Genomic DNA, 18,166 nt, shown 5'->3' with positions numbered 1-18,166 from the left:
CAGCTGTGAACCACCCTTCTGATTCGCATACTCTAAGTGTGAGCTGAGCACAACTGACCAATCCACCCCCGTCCTCCCCCACCTCCCCAGGATAAGCAGCAAACCCAGTATGCATACACAGAACATTATTTAAAGTAAATTACAGAGCACACAACACATGCTGTCATTACTTTGCAGCACAGTTTTCCTTCCTCCACCTGACTTTTGACTCTCTACAATTAGTTCATTTAGTTTTGCTTACCTATACATAAATGTCTCATATGCTAGTAATTATGCAGTATACACTGTGAGCCTGTTATGTCCAAGGCAAGGTGGTAAAAAAACAGAAAAGAAAAATTAAAAAATTTTAAAAAATCCTTCTAGGACAAACCTACTAGGAGAAATAGAAAAGGTAAATCAAAAGTAAGCAAAAGTAGGATGCAGTAGATGTAAAGTGCTAAGCAATACCTGACGTTACCCGTTGAGAGAACTCCCCACCTTGCCGACAGGTGCAGAGGCTTCCTGTACCCCAGGATTTGTTAAGGTTCCTGACTGCCAGGAATAATTCTTTGACTCTCTTCCTTAAATTAAAATTAAACTATTTTTTAATTATGTGATAGATTAAATGAAATGACTAAAGTTTACCTCCCAGTGCCTTTTTTTAAATTATACTTTAAGTTTTAGGGTACATGTGCACAATGTGCAGGTTTGTTACATATGTATACATGTGCCATGTTGGTGTGCTGCACCCATTAACTCGTCATTTAACATTAGGTATATCTCCTAATGCTATCCCTCCCCCCTCCCCCCACACCACAACAGGCCCCAGTGTGTGATGTTCCCCTTCCTGTGTCCATGTGTTCTCATTGTTCAATTCCAACCTATGAGTGAGAACATGTGGTGTTTGGTTTTTTGTCCTTGCGATAGTTTGCTGAGAATGATGGTTTCCAGCTTCATCCATGTCCCTACAAAGGACATGAATTCATCATATTTTATGGCTGCATGGTATTCCATGGTGTATATGTGCCACATTTTCTTAATCCAGTCTATCATTGTTGGCCATTTGAGTTGGTTCCAAGTCTTTGCTATTGTGAATAGTGCTGCAATAAACATACACGTGCATGTGTCTTTATAGTAGCATGATTTATAATCCTTTGGGTATATACCCAGTAATGGGATTGCTGGGTCAAATGGTATTTCTAGTTCTAGATCCCTGAGGAATCGCCACACTGACTTCCACAATGGTTGAACTAGTTTACAGTCTCACCAACAGTGTAAAAGTGTTCCTATTACTCCACATCATCTCCAGCATCTGTTGTTTCCTGACTTTTTAATGATCGCCATTCTAAGTGGCATGAGATGGTATCTCATTGTGGTTTTGATTTGCATTTCTCTGATGGCCAGTGATGATGAGCATTCTTTCATGTGTCTATTGGCTGCATAAATGTCTTCTTTTGAGAAGTATCTGTTCATATCCTTCACCCACTTGTTGATGGGGTTGTTTGTTTTTTTCTTGTAAATTTGTAAATTTGTTTGAGTTCTATGTAGATTCTGGGTATCAGCCCTGTGTCAGATGAGTAGATTGCAAAAATTTTCTCCCATTTTGTAGGTTGCCTGTTCACTCTGATGGTAGTTTCTTTTGCTGTGCAGAACCTCTTTAGTTTAATTAGATCCCATTTGTCAATTTTGGCTTTTGTTGCCATTGCTTTGGTGTTTTAGACATGAAGTCCTTGCCCATGCCTATGTACTTTCTAATCATTATTTCCCTCTTTCTGCAGCATTACTGCAATTTCACTTGTCACCTAGGCTCAAAATCTGAGTATTATCTTTGGGATTTTTCTTTAAATTGCTGTCTTATCCAATTAATGACCATGTTCTCATGATTTGATGTCCGTCTGATAAGTCTCTCTAGTTCCACATTCTTCATGCTATTCTAGCTCAGGCTTTATAAGCCCCCACCTATCTGCAGGACTGTTCTGACTCTAAATCTTCCCTGAAATATAGTCTGCAACTGCTACATAATTCATCTTACTTAGGCACATTTCTAATCCTATTACTCCATTGATGAAGAAATGGAGAATTGAATTGATTTCTACCATTACAAATCATTGAATTGATTTCTACCATTACTAAATTAAATATTGTTAAAATTTAGCAAGTTTTCACACTCAAGACTAATCCTTTATTTAGATCTCCAGAACAACCCATCCATGAAGGTTCTATGTAATTAAATTAGTAAGGTATCATATTAAATAAGTTTTCACCAAAAATCCATTTATATAAAAAACTAAAATTCAGACAATAATTTTGATGTGGTTATTGTTTTATGGTTAAGAGAATGTAATTTTTAAAAGATTACTTTGTGTTTTCATTGTTTTACAGGTTATAGAAAAAAGAGTGTGATTAACTATGTCTTTACTGATAATACTAGAGTGTTAGGGTTTGAGGAACCATTTGAGAATCTCCAGGGACCATATATTAAGTGAAGAATCCCAAGTTTATTGTTTACTTCTGAATAATGTGGAGATATGAAATAAACCATGTTCTCAAAAATTCATATTGGGATTCTTGTGAATTATTTGGATAATTCTGTCTCTAATTTCCCTTTCCCAGTCAGTCATTGCAATAGGGACCATTCTGACTGAAAGAGCAAGAGAGGGGATTTCATTATCTCAAGTAGGTAACTAGGTTTAAAACATGTATATGTACCTAAAATATGTTAAGGGCAAGAATGGTGCCAAGATTCATCATGTGTCCACATCTGAACTCATTTACTCTGTCAACCCAGCTCTGAACTCATTTACTCTGTCAACCCAGCTCTTTCTCCCAGCTGCTCTGTGGATATAAATTCCCCTGTCTTTCCTGGGAGTATTTCCAAAAGTGTTTATCTTAGATAATTGATTGGAAATGCAGTTATACTTTTAATTATAAAAATATTTTTAAAGTTTAATTTTGAAGTAATTTCAGACTTACCAAAAATTTGAAAAAATAATGCAATGAATTTTTGTATATCCTTCACCCATATTCCTCAAATGTTAGCATCTTATACAGCCACAGTATGATTATAAAAACCAGGAAATTAACATTGACACAATACTGTTATCTAATCCACAGACCTTATACAACTTTCAACAGTTGTCTCATTAATGTCTGTTTTTTGGTCTAGGGTCACAAGTTTTATTTAGTTGTCGTGTTTCCTCAGTCTCCTTTAATCTGGCAGAGTCTCTCACTTTGTTTTCCGTGAGTTTTTTTTGTTTTGTTTTTTAACAGCAAAGTTTCTCAGGAATTTTAATGTGTTAATTCACATAGTGAATCTCCAAGAAGTGGTATAACATGATGCCAGTCAAACTTATGTCACTGTGAAGTCCTCCTCGAGGTTGAATTTCTGCGACAGGTATTTCCAGGGCACTCTGGGGAGAATGGGTCCAAGCTTTCTAGGAATATCCTAATACTTGTTTCTGCATATCTGATCCACCCTGCACATGCCATTCAGAATAGCCTCCTTACTTCAGGACTCCATATATGTCACCTGTTTACAAACTGAAACATAGTTCCTTATTTGACTTACTGCAAAGGCCCAAGGCCTTCACTTGGCATTCAAGCCCCTTCATCATTATCTTCAACCTTTCTTTCCAGCTTTAAGCCACTACTTCTGTTCATAAACACTTTGCTCAAGCCAAAGGGCACTGCACTCATTATTCCTCTGACTTCTTATTTTTATTTATTTGCTAATGCTGTTCCTTCTGTATAGAATTCCTTTTCCCTTCTTCCCATCCAAGAGTGAACGCCTTAGATGGAAGTTAAATATCACAACTTTTCTGAACACTACTTCTTTCTATGAGTTCTCATGGCACTGAGAAATTAAGTTTAGAACTCTCATTTTCTGTCCTAAGTTATGGCACTTTGACGGCCGGCTGGAAGGTACAGCAGGAAGGACCACGTCAATTCAACCTTGTTTAGTTGATCTCCATCCTTGCGTCTCTGAGCTCTCAGCATAGTGCTCTTACAGAGTAGGGGCTTCTGAATATGTTTCGCTGAATGAATGAAACAGCTTGTTTTCATTTAGAAAGATTACAAAAAGTGATATAAAATTTTATTAATGAAATTTATACAAATTGGTAATTTCAAGTGACATGGAAATCTATTTGAATGAACTCTCGTTATTATGAAAAGCTACTTTTTAAAATCTAATAGTTACTCTAACCTAAGGCTAAAAGTGAAAAATCTGCCACCCTCTGAATGACATTAAATTATCCCAAGTAATGCACCAATAAAATTAGCTTTCTTGCCTCTAATATTTCCATAAGCCCTAAGTCACCATGTTGGCTCGATTAATTATTAAACGGATCTCAGATTTTCTATGTTAATGGCTTTTGTACTAGATACGATTTCTAATTAAGTTTTTCATTTCTCTGATGAAACAATATTTAAGTTTACCAAATGTCATAACTCATGTTTGCATTTAATAATCAATATTTGGAGATTATTTGAAACTAGTAAGGCAGTAATAATTTATGAAGATGCACAAACATGTCTGTCTGGGATAATCATGAGCATCAGGGCTCAAGAGACTGAATTCTGTTGTTTAGCGATGGCATAAAATTTGTGGTTGGGATAACTGATTGGCATATAGAAAAAATACTAATCATATGCATACTGTTATGGAGAGTGTTATGGTATAAGAGGAATATAAGCTTTAAATGTTCACATGCTTTAAATTGTTAAAACCCATAGATGCTGTGGACAAAAGATAGATAACCATAATATTGGATTTATATAAGACCAGGCATCCGTGTAAGAGCTGTCAGTTGCTATCTGTAACGCAGATGTTTCCAAAAGATGAACATATGACGTTATGTAGATAAAATATACAGTGGATTGCCTAAATTCCTCTCAGAATTTATCAGTGGGAAGGTGAAGGCTAACTAAATTTAAATTTTAGTTCAGAAAATTTTGCTAAATATTATACATATATCTGTAACAGGCAGAGATATTAAGAGTAAATGTATGATAGAATATTATTCAGCCATAAAAAAGGAAGTTCTGATACATGCTACATGGGTGAACCTTAAAAATATGTGCTAAGTGAAAGAAGCCAAACACGAAAGACCACATTTATATGACATATCCAGTAGAGGCAAGTCTATAGAGACAGAAATTAGATTAGTAGTTTCTTAGAGCTGGGGAGAAGAATGCACAGGTTGTGATAGCTAAGGGGTGGTGCTTTCTTTCCAAGGTGATAAATATGTCTTAAAATTGACCATGGTGATGGTTGCACATATCTGTGAGTAGACTGAAAGCTATTGAATTGTACACTTTAAAATGATGAATTGTATGGTATGTGAATCATATTTCAGTAAGTCTGACAAAAATGTATACACATTTCACCAAGAGAGTATACTGCATAGACACAAATACAAAGAATGAAGTGATTTAAAATCACAGCTCACTAAATGGACAGTTCCAGGCCCCAACAATTTGACTGACCAGGTGTACCCTGGCTTCTGAACACAAATGTTTCTGCCAAAGCCCTTTGAATATTTTTGGCATGGAAATTCTCCCACAACCATAAACCCCTCTCAATATTGTGATGATCCAATAAATGATTCCTTGGGTGAGTGGAACTTTAGATAAACTGTTGCTTTACTTTTCTGAGCATGGAACTGAATATAGAGACCAGAGATGGTGTATAGTGAGTAAGTCAGTCTAAATCTTTAATAGTTCTATCTAGCACTTAGAAGCAGCTCAAAATTTGGTATGAGCAGAAGCCATCTATTTTATATAAAAATAGATTTTCTGGTAAAAGGGTAATCCTGGGAGGCTTTTGGGACAGGAGAGGTTGGTCATGATTTCTTTCCTCTTACTAGACCCTGGAAAGCGCTAGCAAGCAAAAGAGAAAAAAAAAGAGTCCAATATATTTAGCATTTGACAAATGTTGAAATAATCCATTTAAAAAATAAACAACAATGATCAGAAAGGCTGTTGAGAGATGTTTTCAAGAGTGAAAGGAAACATTTTTAACTATTTGCCAATCTTTTAACTATTAGACATAATTGTACTTTTATTTTTACTTTCTAATAGTGGAGCTGCAATTAAATCCCATCAGCCTAACAGGAGATTCATAGCTTTATGGATCTGACAGAGTTTACCCCCGAACCCTGCAAGGTGTTGCAAGGAGAAGTCCTCTTTTCTCACATGACCAGGAATTGTCTGCCAGGGTTTGAGGTCCACCTTCACTCACAAGCTGTGGGATCTTGGGCACATTTTTTAACTTCTCCATGTGTCTCAGTTTTCACACATATAAAATGACTATAATAACACTACCCTCATGGGTCATTTTGAGAATTAAGTGAGTTCATATTTGAAAAGCACAGAGATCAGCTCCAAGAGCATGCTGAGTTTGTTAAATAAATGCAAATGTTAACACAGAAATTTAAAAAAATCTTTTAACTATATTTACATTTTTGGAGAGGTACAATTAAAAGCAATTGGGATATATTTCAAAAGTTCAGTTTCACCTGTCTTTTGACTTACATTCTTGCACTCTGTGAGCATGTTACTGAAGCAACAGTAGTATTGTCTACTCTGACATTGTGCAATTTATTCTATAAGCATATGAACAGATAGCTATACAGCCTTTGGAGAACAAAGATTCTACAGGATACCTTGTGGTCTAATATTACTTTTTACCCTTCTCTATTAAGTTTTAATTTATCATTAAGCTGAATGTGTCCGATATGAAAGGCAGAGAACAGTGACAAATGTTGATGTGAACAGAGAGATACAATGCAAAAGGCATAGGGATGATGAAAAAACAATTCTCATAGGACCCCAGCTCCGACCATGGTGACAACCTCCAAAGGTTTGTTAAAGAATGTGACTTGTCACCTATCAGATATGAGGGAGAATATATTGACAGTGAGGATTCAAGACAATATATGTGTAAAATTAGCTGCAAAGAGAAATCAATAAGGTGAGTTTTAAAACTCTTTTCCAAGTTTGGAGATTAGGATTTTTCTACTAGTTATAAAAATGAGCTCCTTTATATGTGTGCATGTGTGTGTGTGTGTGTGTGTGTGCACTAATCAACATGAGCATATGAATCCATGTTTACCAGTAAATAACTAACACTGAAAATTAAAAAGGGACTTAAATTGGATATTATTGACTTATTAACCCCAGAACTGAGCAGTCCACTAAAATGAAATATTTTATAGTAACTAAGATTTATGAGTGCCTCTAAATGATCAAATAAAAGTTATGAGATTTAGGATTGGTTGATAATTTAAGAAAAGCAACTATAACATCTCTTCTGATTTTCTATACAAATCAAATATACAAATATGATAATTAAATAGTATTATTTAAAATATCATACAATGTGTAAAAACATTTTTTTGGGAAGGCATATCCATAATTCTAAATCTTTTTGTATCTGAACTTTCTTCCTGGATTATGTACTTGAATCATAAAAAACTGTTTCATGTTTTATATATGGTCTTAAAATTAACATAGTTATTACTTTCTATTCATCAAGTTGATGTACTATAAATTGTTATACCATGTCTTTAATTGCATATATTTATACATATCCAGATTTGCTGTTATAAATAACACTGAAATGAACATAATGCAGGTAGCTGTTTCTTTCTGTTGAATTATTTTCTTAGAAGAAAGCCCATTGAGTGGGGTTACAAGACCAAAAGTTATGGGCATTTTAATAGTCTTTGAGACAAAGACTGCTTCTACCAATAAGTGAATTACAATTCTATTTAACATTATCTTTACAAATTGCTAAATTAGTGAAAATAATTTTTTCAAAGTTAACTTGCATACATCAGGTTAGTATCAATAATTATATTTTATACCAAACTGTTTACAATTTGGATGTTTTTCCCTTATGTGAACACATTTGTTCATATTGTTCATTGAATTAATTACTAAATTTTCATGGTTTTAGTACTAATTTAAATGATCTCATTGTGTATTATGAATAATGACCCTTTCTTTGCCACATGTGATACAAATATTAAAATTACTTTTAAATTTCAGTTTTGTAAGCTTTCATGTTTCAGATGTTCGGGTGCTAAATGAGTAAAATACAGCACTGTAGGATGACATTAATTGATAATAGAGATTATTTCAAGCAGAAATACTTTATTCACATTCTCTAGCAGAAAAAGGAAATGCTATACTGTGCGTGCGTGCGTGTGTGTGTGTGTGTGTGTGTGTGCATCCTCTTTAAATCTGTGGTATTAAATTCCCAGAGTAAGAATGTAATTTAAAAATGCCTAAAATACAGTGCTTAGAATTCAACTAGACATAGTTTTTAATTTTCACCAGAAACTGTTTTGAAATCCCCCCACTGGAAGCAAAGCAACTAAGGTAGTCTAAACTTATTAAAATAACTCTCAAAATAAAGAACATGCGGAAGAACAAATTCAAAGATAGAGTTACAATCTTGGAGCAGATTGACTGTCCCTTTTCCTGTAGCTAGGTATCCTTACCAATCCAAACAAATTGCGTCTGCATCAGAAATAATTTGACAGTATGTTTTCTCTATAGTTTTTATCAAATGGTATAAAATAAAATCAAGACATAGCCTCATTAAATTACTTCCAATTAAAAAAAATTTTACATACTTTGGGTTTTGTAAATCTAAAATCCAGAAAATGTATACAACAATTTACTCAATAACTATGAAAGAGTGGCCACTCTGCACTCAGTACAGTTCTAGTTAATGGGAGATAAATAAGAAGTTAAAGAGTAGCTTTTAGGAGCACACTACTGGCTGTTGACAGGCTACTGAAATCTTTGTTCCACTGTAATAATTCTGATATTTTTTCATGAAAATATGAGAATATATTCAGTCCAACAAATGCTCTTGTGAGGCACAGGTAGGAAAGAATTCTGGGAAACAAGATTGAGGAAAATACATACATATTAAGTAAAAGTTCAGCCCTCCTAATAGGGATTTATGATTGCCGTGTCCTATGAAGATCACAGGAATTATGTTCTCATGCAGGAAACAGTTGTCTGGTGTGGGATTAAAGAAATGAGAATTCAGTAGATGGAGTGCCACCAGAATGGAGCCCTTTGGCCTTCAAAAGACGGACCAGCCTAAATAGGATAAGGACAAGCACAGGGCAGTGTAATAATAACATTAGTAATAGCAATGTGAAACTAGTATGTATTGAATGCTTCTGTGCTATGCCCTGCACAGAACATTTTACTGACATTCTCTTAACTTCCCAGATGAAGGGCATCTTCACTCTGGCTCCTACATCTTGTCCATGCATTCACTCCTGCTGGTTTTTGCTCAATAGATTCCTTTTGTGTTCACCCTTTTGGGACTTCAGAGTCTCTTGTTTGTTGATCATTTATTCATTCAACAAATATTTATGTGCCATCACTGCATTAGTTGCTGAAACCACAGACATGAACAAGTGAAAAAAGAACACAATTCTATCCTGCAAGAAGCTTTCCTTCCAGTAGATAGAATAGAAACTCAATGATTATAGTGTGCTCAGGTGTCAGGGCATCTAGTACAGCCTGAGGGAGTGAGTGGGAGAGGACTAGGAAATGCTCTCAGTAACACATACACACACACACACACACACACACACAGTTTTTTAGTATAACATTGTGTATAATAGCTATATGACATATGATTATAATATGTAACACATACTATCTATATATTATACTCGCTATAGTATATATATGCACACATAGATGTGTTATGTATACATCTGAAGTTATTTTCATATTTGGATAGAGTCCAAATGTCCATCAATATATTTAATAGAAGAGTATTAAATAAACAATGATACATTGAGTACTGATAAGGAAATAGTTACAAAATACATAAGAATAAAAAGAAGGGCTCAGAAGAGTGCATATCATACGTTAGCTTGTGTGGGGAGCAAATAAGAATATATAGTCACATTTTCTTGCACTTGCATAAAGGCACTTTGGACTCATGTACAAAAATAAATAAAAAAGAGTAAAACTGGATGCCTGTTGGAAACAGAGATGGGAGAACCAGGCATATGGGGCCCAAACGCCGGACAGAGGTTTTAATGTATACATTTGTATGTTTTCGAACCAAGTATATGTATTAACTACTTAACAAAATTAAATTAACATATCCTGAGGTGTTTTGGGGGAAGATGTCTGCTAGGAGCTAGGTGGATAAGGAGCCCAGGTGGGGTAGGAGGGAGAAGGGACTTGGGGGAGAACCCATTCCATGCAGGCCGCTGCCTGAGGATGGCACAGGAAGGGTTCTTTTGCTGGATGCCAGAAGGGGAGGGTGGGAGTTAGGCTGGCGCAGGTCACGAGGGCCTCCCTTGCACAGTAGGGAATTCAGATTTCATCCTGAAGGTGATGAGAATCACTGAAGGGTGATCGGAAGGAACGTGACTGATAAGATTTGCGCTTTGTGATCATCTTACAGGGAGCAGGAGGCATGCATGAAGTGTAGGGCAAAACTTGGTGGGGAAGATTATTTAGGAGGTTACTGGCCAGCTTCAGGTGAGAAGTGATGAGCATATGAACAGAGACGGGCAGTGGGCACAGAGCGGGGGACTCACCATCCCAGGGCCGGAGTCTGCTTGTCTTTGACTTCTCCACTCCAGCATGGATTGCATTTTGCTGCTCCCCCACAATACCATCCACAACCTTTCTATGGATTCCGCGCTGATTTTCACCTTGGTGTTGCTGACAATTTGCAGGAACTCTTCTTCAGGATTTGGTGACTTTAGGACAACAAGAACCTTCTCTGTGCCTAGCACTCTCCCTGTCGTTCTCAGCCTGAGAGCCGGGGGAGGATGCACGTGGCACCCCCCGCCGCCTCCCAGGGACAGAGGCGCCGGCAGAAGCTGGGGGCCTCTGCGCCAAGCAAGGCACAGGCGGTGGAGAGTGGGGATGCTCCCTGAGCCCCAAGCAACAGCCTGGTAAGGAACCCCGCCCGTCTTCGCCTTTCTGAGTCCAGTTAATTGTATTCGTTTCCGTCAAGCATGTACACAGTCTGTGGAATGCTTATGACAGAGGTGACTTTTCTTCCAGTTCCAAGCTCCACTCACGCGAGGCACTTGCTCAGGCTGTATTCATGGAGGAGATGTGTCGGTGGTCAAAGCACTCAAATACTTCCCTCTCATTCGGTGGAGAGTCGCTCCCCGAAATCACCTTCCTGGCCACCTCCGTCAGTCCCTCCCCTAGGTTATTCTAGATATTTCTATGCCTCCAGTAATGAAAGGGGTAATTCCCTGCAGCAGAGCCGCCGAGCCCCTGCCCTTTCTCGAAGCTGCCCCTCTATTTGCTTGGTTGTTGCCCACGCCCCTCGGGCTGTTAAATATTGCGACCATCACCCCTGTTTTTCAGTAATAAGGTAAACATTTCAGCACATATTGGGCAACAAGAAGGATTCTCCTGAATCAAATGTTTAAGAAGCACAATTCTGGCCAGGCTTGGTGGCTCACACCTGTAATCCTACCACTTTCGGAGACCGAGGCGGGTGGATCACCTGAGGTCAGGAGTTCAAGAACAGCCTGGCCAAATGGTGAAATCCGTCTTTACTGAAAATACAAAAAATTAGCTGGACGTGGCGGCGTGCACCTGTAGTCCCAGCTACTCGGGAGGCTGAGGCAGGAGAATCACTTGAACCTGGGAAGCGGAGGTTGCAGTGAACCGAGATCACGCCATTACGCTCCAGCCTGGGCAACAAGAGCAAAACTCCGTCTTAAAAAAAAAAAAAAAAAAAAGAAAAGAAAAAAGCACAATTCTAATAAGTATACATAATCATATAAAATAAGTGACAAACACAAGAAACCCATACAAAAATCAGTCACACCACTAATACATAATTGGATAGTTGTGAAACAATTTCTTGATATATTTTACTTTAATATAAAAAGATAAAATATTAAAAATCTTGTCCTGCAGGTGTGTTCCAAGAAAAGTCAGTGAGCAGCAACTAATCTTTTATTTCTCAAAGGCTGAAGAGTATAGAGCTATATGTGCAGGGTGGTAGCTTTGAATGTTTACTAAAATAACACGTGGAGAAATTCATTTATAAGGGAAAAGTACTTTTAGGTGGCAACACATACAGTTTATTTAGATTGTCCTTTAGGGAATGTTTTTATGTGACACTCCAGCTCCTTATCAAATAAATACTTGCTGTTCATTTGAATTGGAGTTACTATGGGGAAATGACTTTTGGATTCCAAGCGTCCTGCTGCATTGTAAAGGTCTGGCCATGCTATCATTCCACAAAATGGTTTAGCAATTTGCTACGATAATTTTTTAAAGGAGAGTAATCTGTCCACATATGAAAGATTTTAGAAAAACATTTTCATTGTTCAAGATGATTAATAAAAACTGTTAGTATCTAGTATAGGATAATAGAGTTCTTTTATAACTTAAAATAGCCTACACATTTTTAAAAGAAAATTTGCCTCCACATTTTTTCAAGACAAAAATTTAAACATATATATTTTGCCACAATTTTGTATGTAATGGCTACATTAACAAAGGATCAGAGAATAAGAAAAGACTGATAAGCATATATTGGCAAGTGACTGTATATTATATTTATACCTGTAAATATGATTGTAGAAACCTAGAATGATCAGATTCCCTGTTGCATGTCTGAAAAGAAATTCCTTCCCATCAAGGTGCAATCCCTTTCTTTGAGTTCAGTATCAAATTTGCCTTTCTTTGAACTAGAACTCTAAAAGATCTTTGATTTTTGTTTTATTCAGATCTTTAGTCTTTCTAGAAGATTGTAATTCAAATGTGCTCTGAAACATCATTTTAAAACTTGAGACATGCAAATTCAAGAATAGTAAATAGTAGATTGAGTAAATGAGGTAAGATCACTACACTGGTGGCCCTAGAAGAGCCATGCCTCCTTGTCTTCTCACCTTTTGATAGCCCCCTCTCACATTAACTACAGGCTGAGTCATAGATTTGCTGTAGCCAACGAAGCAATAGCAAGCATTACTCACGTAGAGGCTTGACAAATGCTTGCGTGTTGACTTCACCTTTTATTATTCAGCTACCTTGTTGCCTGAGAATCGGTCAATTTTTTTTTTTTCCCAGAAAGAGAAGCCATGTGCATGTGCAGGAGAATGGGGCCAACAGCCAGCACCAGAGATGTGAGTGAGGCCTCTTTGGACATTCCAGTCCCAGCAAAGCTCAAGATTGACAGGCTCACATCAGTGACCCTAGCCAATATTGTGTGGAGTTTATATGGGTGACCTTATCTAATACCACATAAAGCAGAAGAACTACCTGGCTGAGATGTGCCCAAATTCCTAATGCACAGAACTCTAAGCAATAAATTAATATTGTTTTAAGCAATTGCATTTTGGAGTGGTTTGTTACATAGTAGTAGATAATGAATACAGTAAGTGATAGCAAGGATTTCTTAAAGATTTTCTAGAATTAATTCCAAGGTACCTTCTTCATTGACATAACCACTCATATTTGTGTTATCTATTTATTTACTATTGAGTCTGTGTCTCTTATTCCTACTAAGCTAAGCTCAGTTGAACAGAACTGAGATGGTTGGTTTATGTGAAGAGTGGGTTGAGAATGGCTTTATTGGATATTGACTCAAACTAAATGATAAGTCCTTTTCGGGTCTGAAAGGAACATTGTTCTTGATGATGTTATACATCCTTAAATTAATTCCACTCTTCATTGTGGTCAAACTGTGAGTGGGGCAGTCTGGTGGAATAAAATTACTTTTAAGGAATCCCTGGCACATTAACCTTCTGTGGACTAATCACATCATTTCCTTCTCGTTTCTGTATATGGAATTGTATTCTGATGCCAGATTTTAGGCACTAAAATGCGAAGAGTCTCCAGTGGGATTTGTTTTTTAAGGAATAAATGAAATGTCAGGTTTATTAGACCAAGCAAGCCATTGGCTGTGGGTGTTTCCATCCTTCTTTCTCTGGAACTGAGGTGCATTAGTCGAAGAATGCATTAGTAGAAGAGCCTGAGGTAGTTAAGTGAAAAGGGACCACTTCTGGTGGATGGTGATACTGTTTCATTGAATAGTGTGGACTGTATCTTAAGTTAGAAATGATAGTCACTAACTGCTTCTAAATACAAAATGTCTAGATACCAAGAGAAAAAAGGTGTAACCTGCCATCAGGTATAACTAGTGGTACCATAATTGCTTCTATTTCTGTTGGATGTTCTCTGTGTGCTTATCTGTGGCATTTTCTATCAGGTAGATGTGGAGAAAAAAATGCCAGCAAAGAAGAGTTCTGATTAGATAATGACACAAAAGTGACACTTACAGAGAGTAGTATTTGGACAGCACTGTGGATGACCTCCAGGTACTGGAAGTCAACGATGCAGCCTGTGACAGAGACGTACGTGTAATCGTCCATCATGCCATGGGCTGAGGGAGGCAGCACTCTTCTGACACAACCAGGCCCATGTTCTCTCCACCATGACCGATGTACAGAGATATTGAATGTCATTAGATCGGTGTCCTAGGTGGGTAGGAGACAAAAGAGCAAAATGAGGAAATTGTATTACATCACGTCTTTGACTTTGACCTTAGGAAGAATTCAGGGTAGATGAAATTGCTACAGTGATTTCAATTTCAAGTGAAAAGTAACAAAAGACAAAGCCCCAAGTGGCTGCATGTATTATATGCCTAAACTATTGGGTTATAGTTATTCAATGGGGAGATAATCCTTTGATTACTATTAACATTTTAAGGGCAACATATATTTAAAAAATCCAGACATGAGATCTTCCATATACATTTATTTAAAAATAATTTCTACCTTGAAACTTTTGTCTGCATTTTCTTGTTGCTGCAACATCATGAATATCACTATCATAGGATAAATATTGTTGAATGCTTTTATGGCATGGTAGATGTTGTTCTAAGTGAATTTCACATATTATATTCTTGAATGTTCATGTAGGCACTTTAATGATCAAGCTAATTTATAGCAGGCTGAATAATTGCCTCCACCAATGATACTTAGCTTCTAATCCTTGGAACCTGTGAATTTTACCTTATAAGGCAATAAAGGACTGAGCAGATGTGATTAAATTAGGATCATGAGATGGGGAGATGATCATGGACTATCTGAGTGGACCCTAAATGCAATCGTGTATATTCTTATAAGAGGGAGGCAGAGAGAGATTAGACACAAGGTAGAAGAGGCAAAGGCAATGTGACCATAGAAGCAGAGACTGGGATGTGGCAGCCAGCAAGGATTGCTGCCAGCCACCAAAAGTGGGAAGACGCCAGGAAGAATTCTCCTCTAAAGCTTCAGAGAGAGTTTGGCCCTGCCAAGACCTTGAATTCAGCTCAGTGAAGCTGATTTCAGACTTCTGGCCTTCAGAACAGTGAGAGAATAAATTTCTGAGGTTTAAGCTATCAATTTTGTGATGATTTGTTAAAGCAGTCATGAGAAACTAATATTGGTGAGAAAAGTAAGTCACAGTGAGGTAATTTAATTTGTCCATGGTAGCATAGCTAGTTAGTGGTGGAGCTGGGATGTAATCCTGTGCAGTGTTTACTTTTAGCTATAATGCGGCACTCTCTCACATTACTTGCTGTCTTCCCCCTCCAAAGCCCTGATCATTCCTTATACTCTGAAGACAGCCAGGTCCTTCCTCCTCAGTTGTTTCAAGAAAATGGCACCACAGTCAATCACAAGAACAAAGAAGACAAACCTTAACTTTTATGTATATCAAAATACACTTTCAGAGCTCTTAATGGAAAAAATAGCCTGGTTTTTGATCCTTAAGAGATGCCCTTTAGTATTTCTGGGGTGTTAATGTATGAAGGGCTAAGATCATAATGTTGTGGTCATAAACAATAGATTGAAAAGAACAGATTAGGGACCAGGACCTTGACTTCCAAATAATCCAAAGACTGCAACCACCCATGTAGATTGGGTAGAAGAAGTAGTGGTGATGGAGAGAGGCCAAAGCAGTCCCCGGGCAAGGACACTGCTCTGCAGGGTAGCTGGGGATGCAGGAGCAGAGTCAGCTTTTGTTTATTTTCCAGCCTCCACTCCCTCCAACAGTGAGCTCTGTCTTAGTGCCAGGGGGCCATGTTGGAGCAGGGTCCGTACGTGACTTTTGCTGAGAGGTGCAGAGGCTGCCCGCAGACTATGCAGCACAACTGACACACGTCAGTGCATTCCAAGGTTCCTTTGAGGACAGTGTCCACTTCAGTTGCCAAGGAGACACCTAAATGCCTGAAATTGAGGTTGGAACTCTGAAAACTTAGAGGAAGCTAGTGGGAAATGGAAAGCCTTGAACTTACACATGGGTGGCACTGAAAGTAATCAGGGTGGAGCTCTCTGAAAAGGACAGTAGGGAAACCCTCTTTTTACACTGCTGTATATGGTAAGTGAATCACAAGGGTAGTAACATTCCCAGTGCATATAAGTAGGCAGGGTTACTATGCAGTTTTCGATTTTCTTCAATTCAAGGAATTCAAAGTATCATTATAAGTATGCCTCAAATTATATCAATAATAAAACATGTTATGCCTTTTTCCTTTTGATTGTTGGTTTTCTATTCAGTTACCTTCACAGTTGTAGCACTTTATTGATAATAAAACGTTTAGGTCATTTTTTTGGTTGTTGGTTTGCTACTTGTATCATTTGCAGTTACTCTCTGAAGGGAAAATATTATAGAGAAATAATTGCTTCAGCTACCAAATTCAGTTTAACGCAAGGCAATTTACCTGCACACAAACATCAGAGATGCACACTGATTGCTCCCTTTTTTGGTCATCAGATTTAATTTCTTACAGTTAGATGTGCTCATTACAGAAGAACTATACATTATTTCTCATCTTAATAGAATTCACCAGGTTCGAGATGAACTAGCATGATCTCAAAATTCATAGCGATTTCCATTCCTTAAGCATTCTTACCCAGCGACCTTTCCTATTGCAGACTGTGAGTTCACTTCAGTATGACTTTAACTAAAATTTATATTATACAAATAAAACAAGAGTCAATTTATGAACTAATCATACATATTTGTTACACTCATAAAACCTTTCAGCATAGGTATCATTAAATTTGTTGGAACTATAACATATTTATAAATGGTACTATTCCTCACAATGACTATATTAAAATTTGAATGAGAATATAAATAACATTAAATTATACTTAAACTTCAAACTTCTTAAGTTTTTTGTGTGGGAGCTCTGAAAATGACACCCCCAAATATAGTGATTTGGCATGCTGAGTACTTTGAACATGAAGGACACTGGAAGAACTTCAGAAGGAAAGTCTCTTTCTAACCTTCTTCTGCCCTTCTTTCTCCTGCTTTCCTTTCTCCCCAAGGCAGGCCATAGAAATTAGTATTCCTCTTCCCTAAGACAGGTCATAGAACCAGAACGAACCAGAACCCTTTTCTCCCACAGCTGGCCATAAAATCTAGAAATATTACTCTATCACTTGCCTTTCTGTGTAAGAGCTAGCAATAAAGAAATTCTCTGACTTACCTTGTCTAAAGGTAGACATAAGACTGTTACTCCAGAAAGGTCTTACCCTATACCTAGGAAGAAGAAATGCCACACAGAGAAGCCAAGAAGAATCTGAGCAGACAGGTCTTGTTGGGTTTCCCCATTCAGTCTCTTACCATTAGGTCCTACTTTTTTGGTTCAATCATATTTATTTTTTATTTTTGAGATAGTCTCCATCTGTTGACCAGGCTGGAGTACAGTGGTGAGAACATAGCTCATTCCATCCTTGAACTCCTGGACTCAAGCAAATTCTCCTGCCTCCCACTCCTGCATAGCTAGGACCATTGCTAGGACCATGAGCCACCATGCCTGAGTCTGTTCTTCTTTCTACATGGTTGTGCATTCTACATCAAATCAAAACATAAAAATAGACAGTTTTCCCTGAATCTTTAAGTCTTCATTTCTGAAGTCTCCCATGACATGTAAAACTTTGATTGAATAAATCTATAATGCTTTTCTCTTGTTAACCTCTCTTTTGTTTTAGGAGTGTGGACTGTGACCCTTTCAACGGGGAAAAAAGTATCACACCCTTTCCACACCTACACTGTAACATTTTATCTAAAGTTTGTGTCTGATTTCTATCTATTTCAGTACTAGATTAGAAACATTTTTTTTTAAACTTACCACATGACAACTCAGTTTTCTATACAAGGT

The 18,166-nt window shown here is 37.3% G+C and overlaps 1 protein-coding gene across 5 annotated transcripts in view; it reads right to left on the bottom strand.

The window, feature by feature from the left end:
* NKAIN3 (sodium/potassium transporting ATPase interacting 3) overlaps positions 1-18,166 on the bottom strand; it is a 750,799-nt gene that overhangs the window by 238,232 nt on the left and 494,401 nt on the right. For 4 of the 5 annotated variants that reach the window (NR_130764.2, XM_017013359.2, NM_001304533.3 and 1 more), the window contains exon 4: positions 14,292-14,489. Coding sequence is in view for 4 of the 5 variants with exons in the window: in XM_017013359.2 (XP_016868848.1) it covers positions 14,292-14,489 (198 nt within the window). In the remaining variant the exon portion in view is untranslated. Of the gene's footprint in view, positions 1-1,522; positions 11,082-14,291; positions 14,490-18,166 lie in introns of those variants that run through there. The other variant, XM_011517512.3, reaches the window with a different exon arrangement.

This window comes from Homo sapiens, chromosome 8, assembly GCF_000001405.40.
Source record: "Homo sapiens chromosome 8, GRCh38.p14 Primary Assembly".
Taxonomy (NCBI): Eukaryota; Metazoa; Chordata; class Mammalia; order Primates; family Hominidae; genus Homo; species Homo sapiens.
Note: the sequence above shows the minus strand (reverse complement) of the source record. Positions and strands in the feature narration are given on the sequence as shown.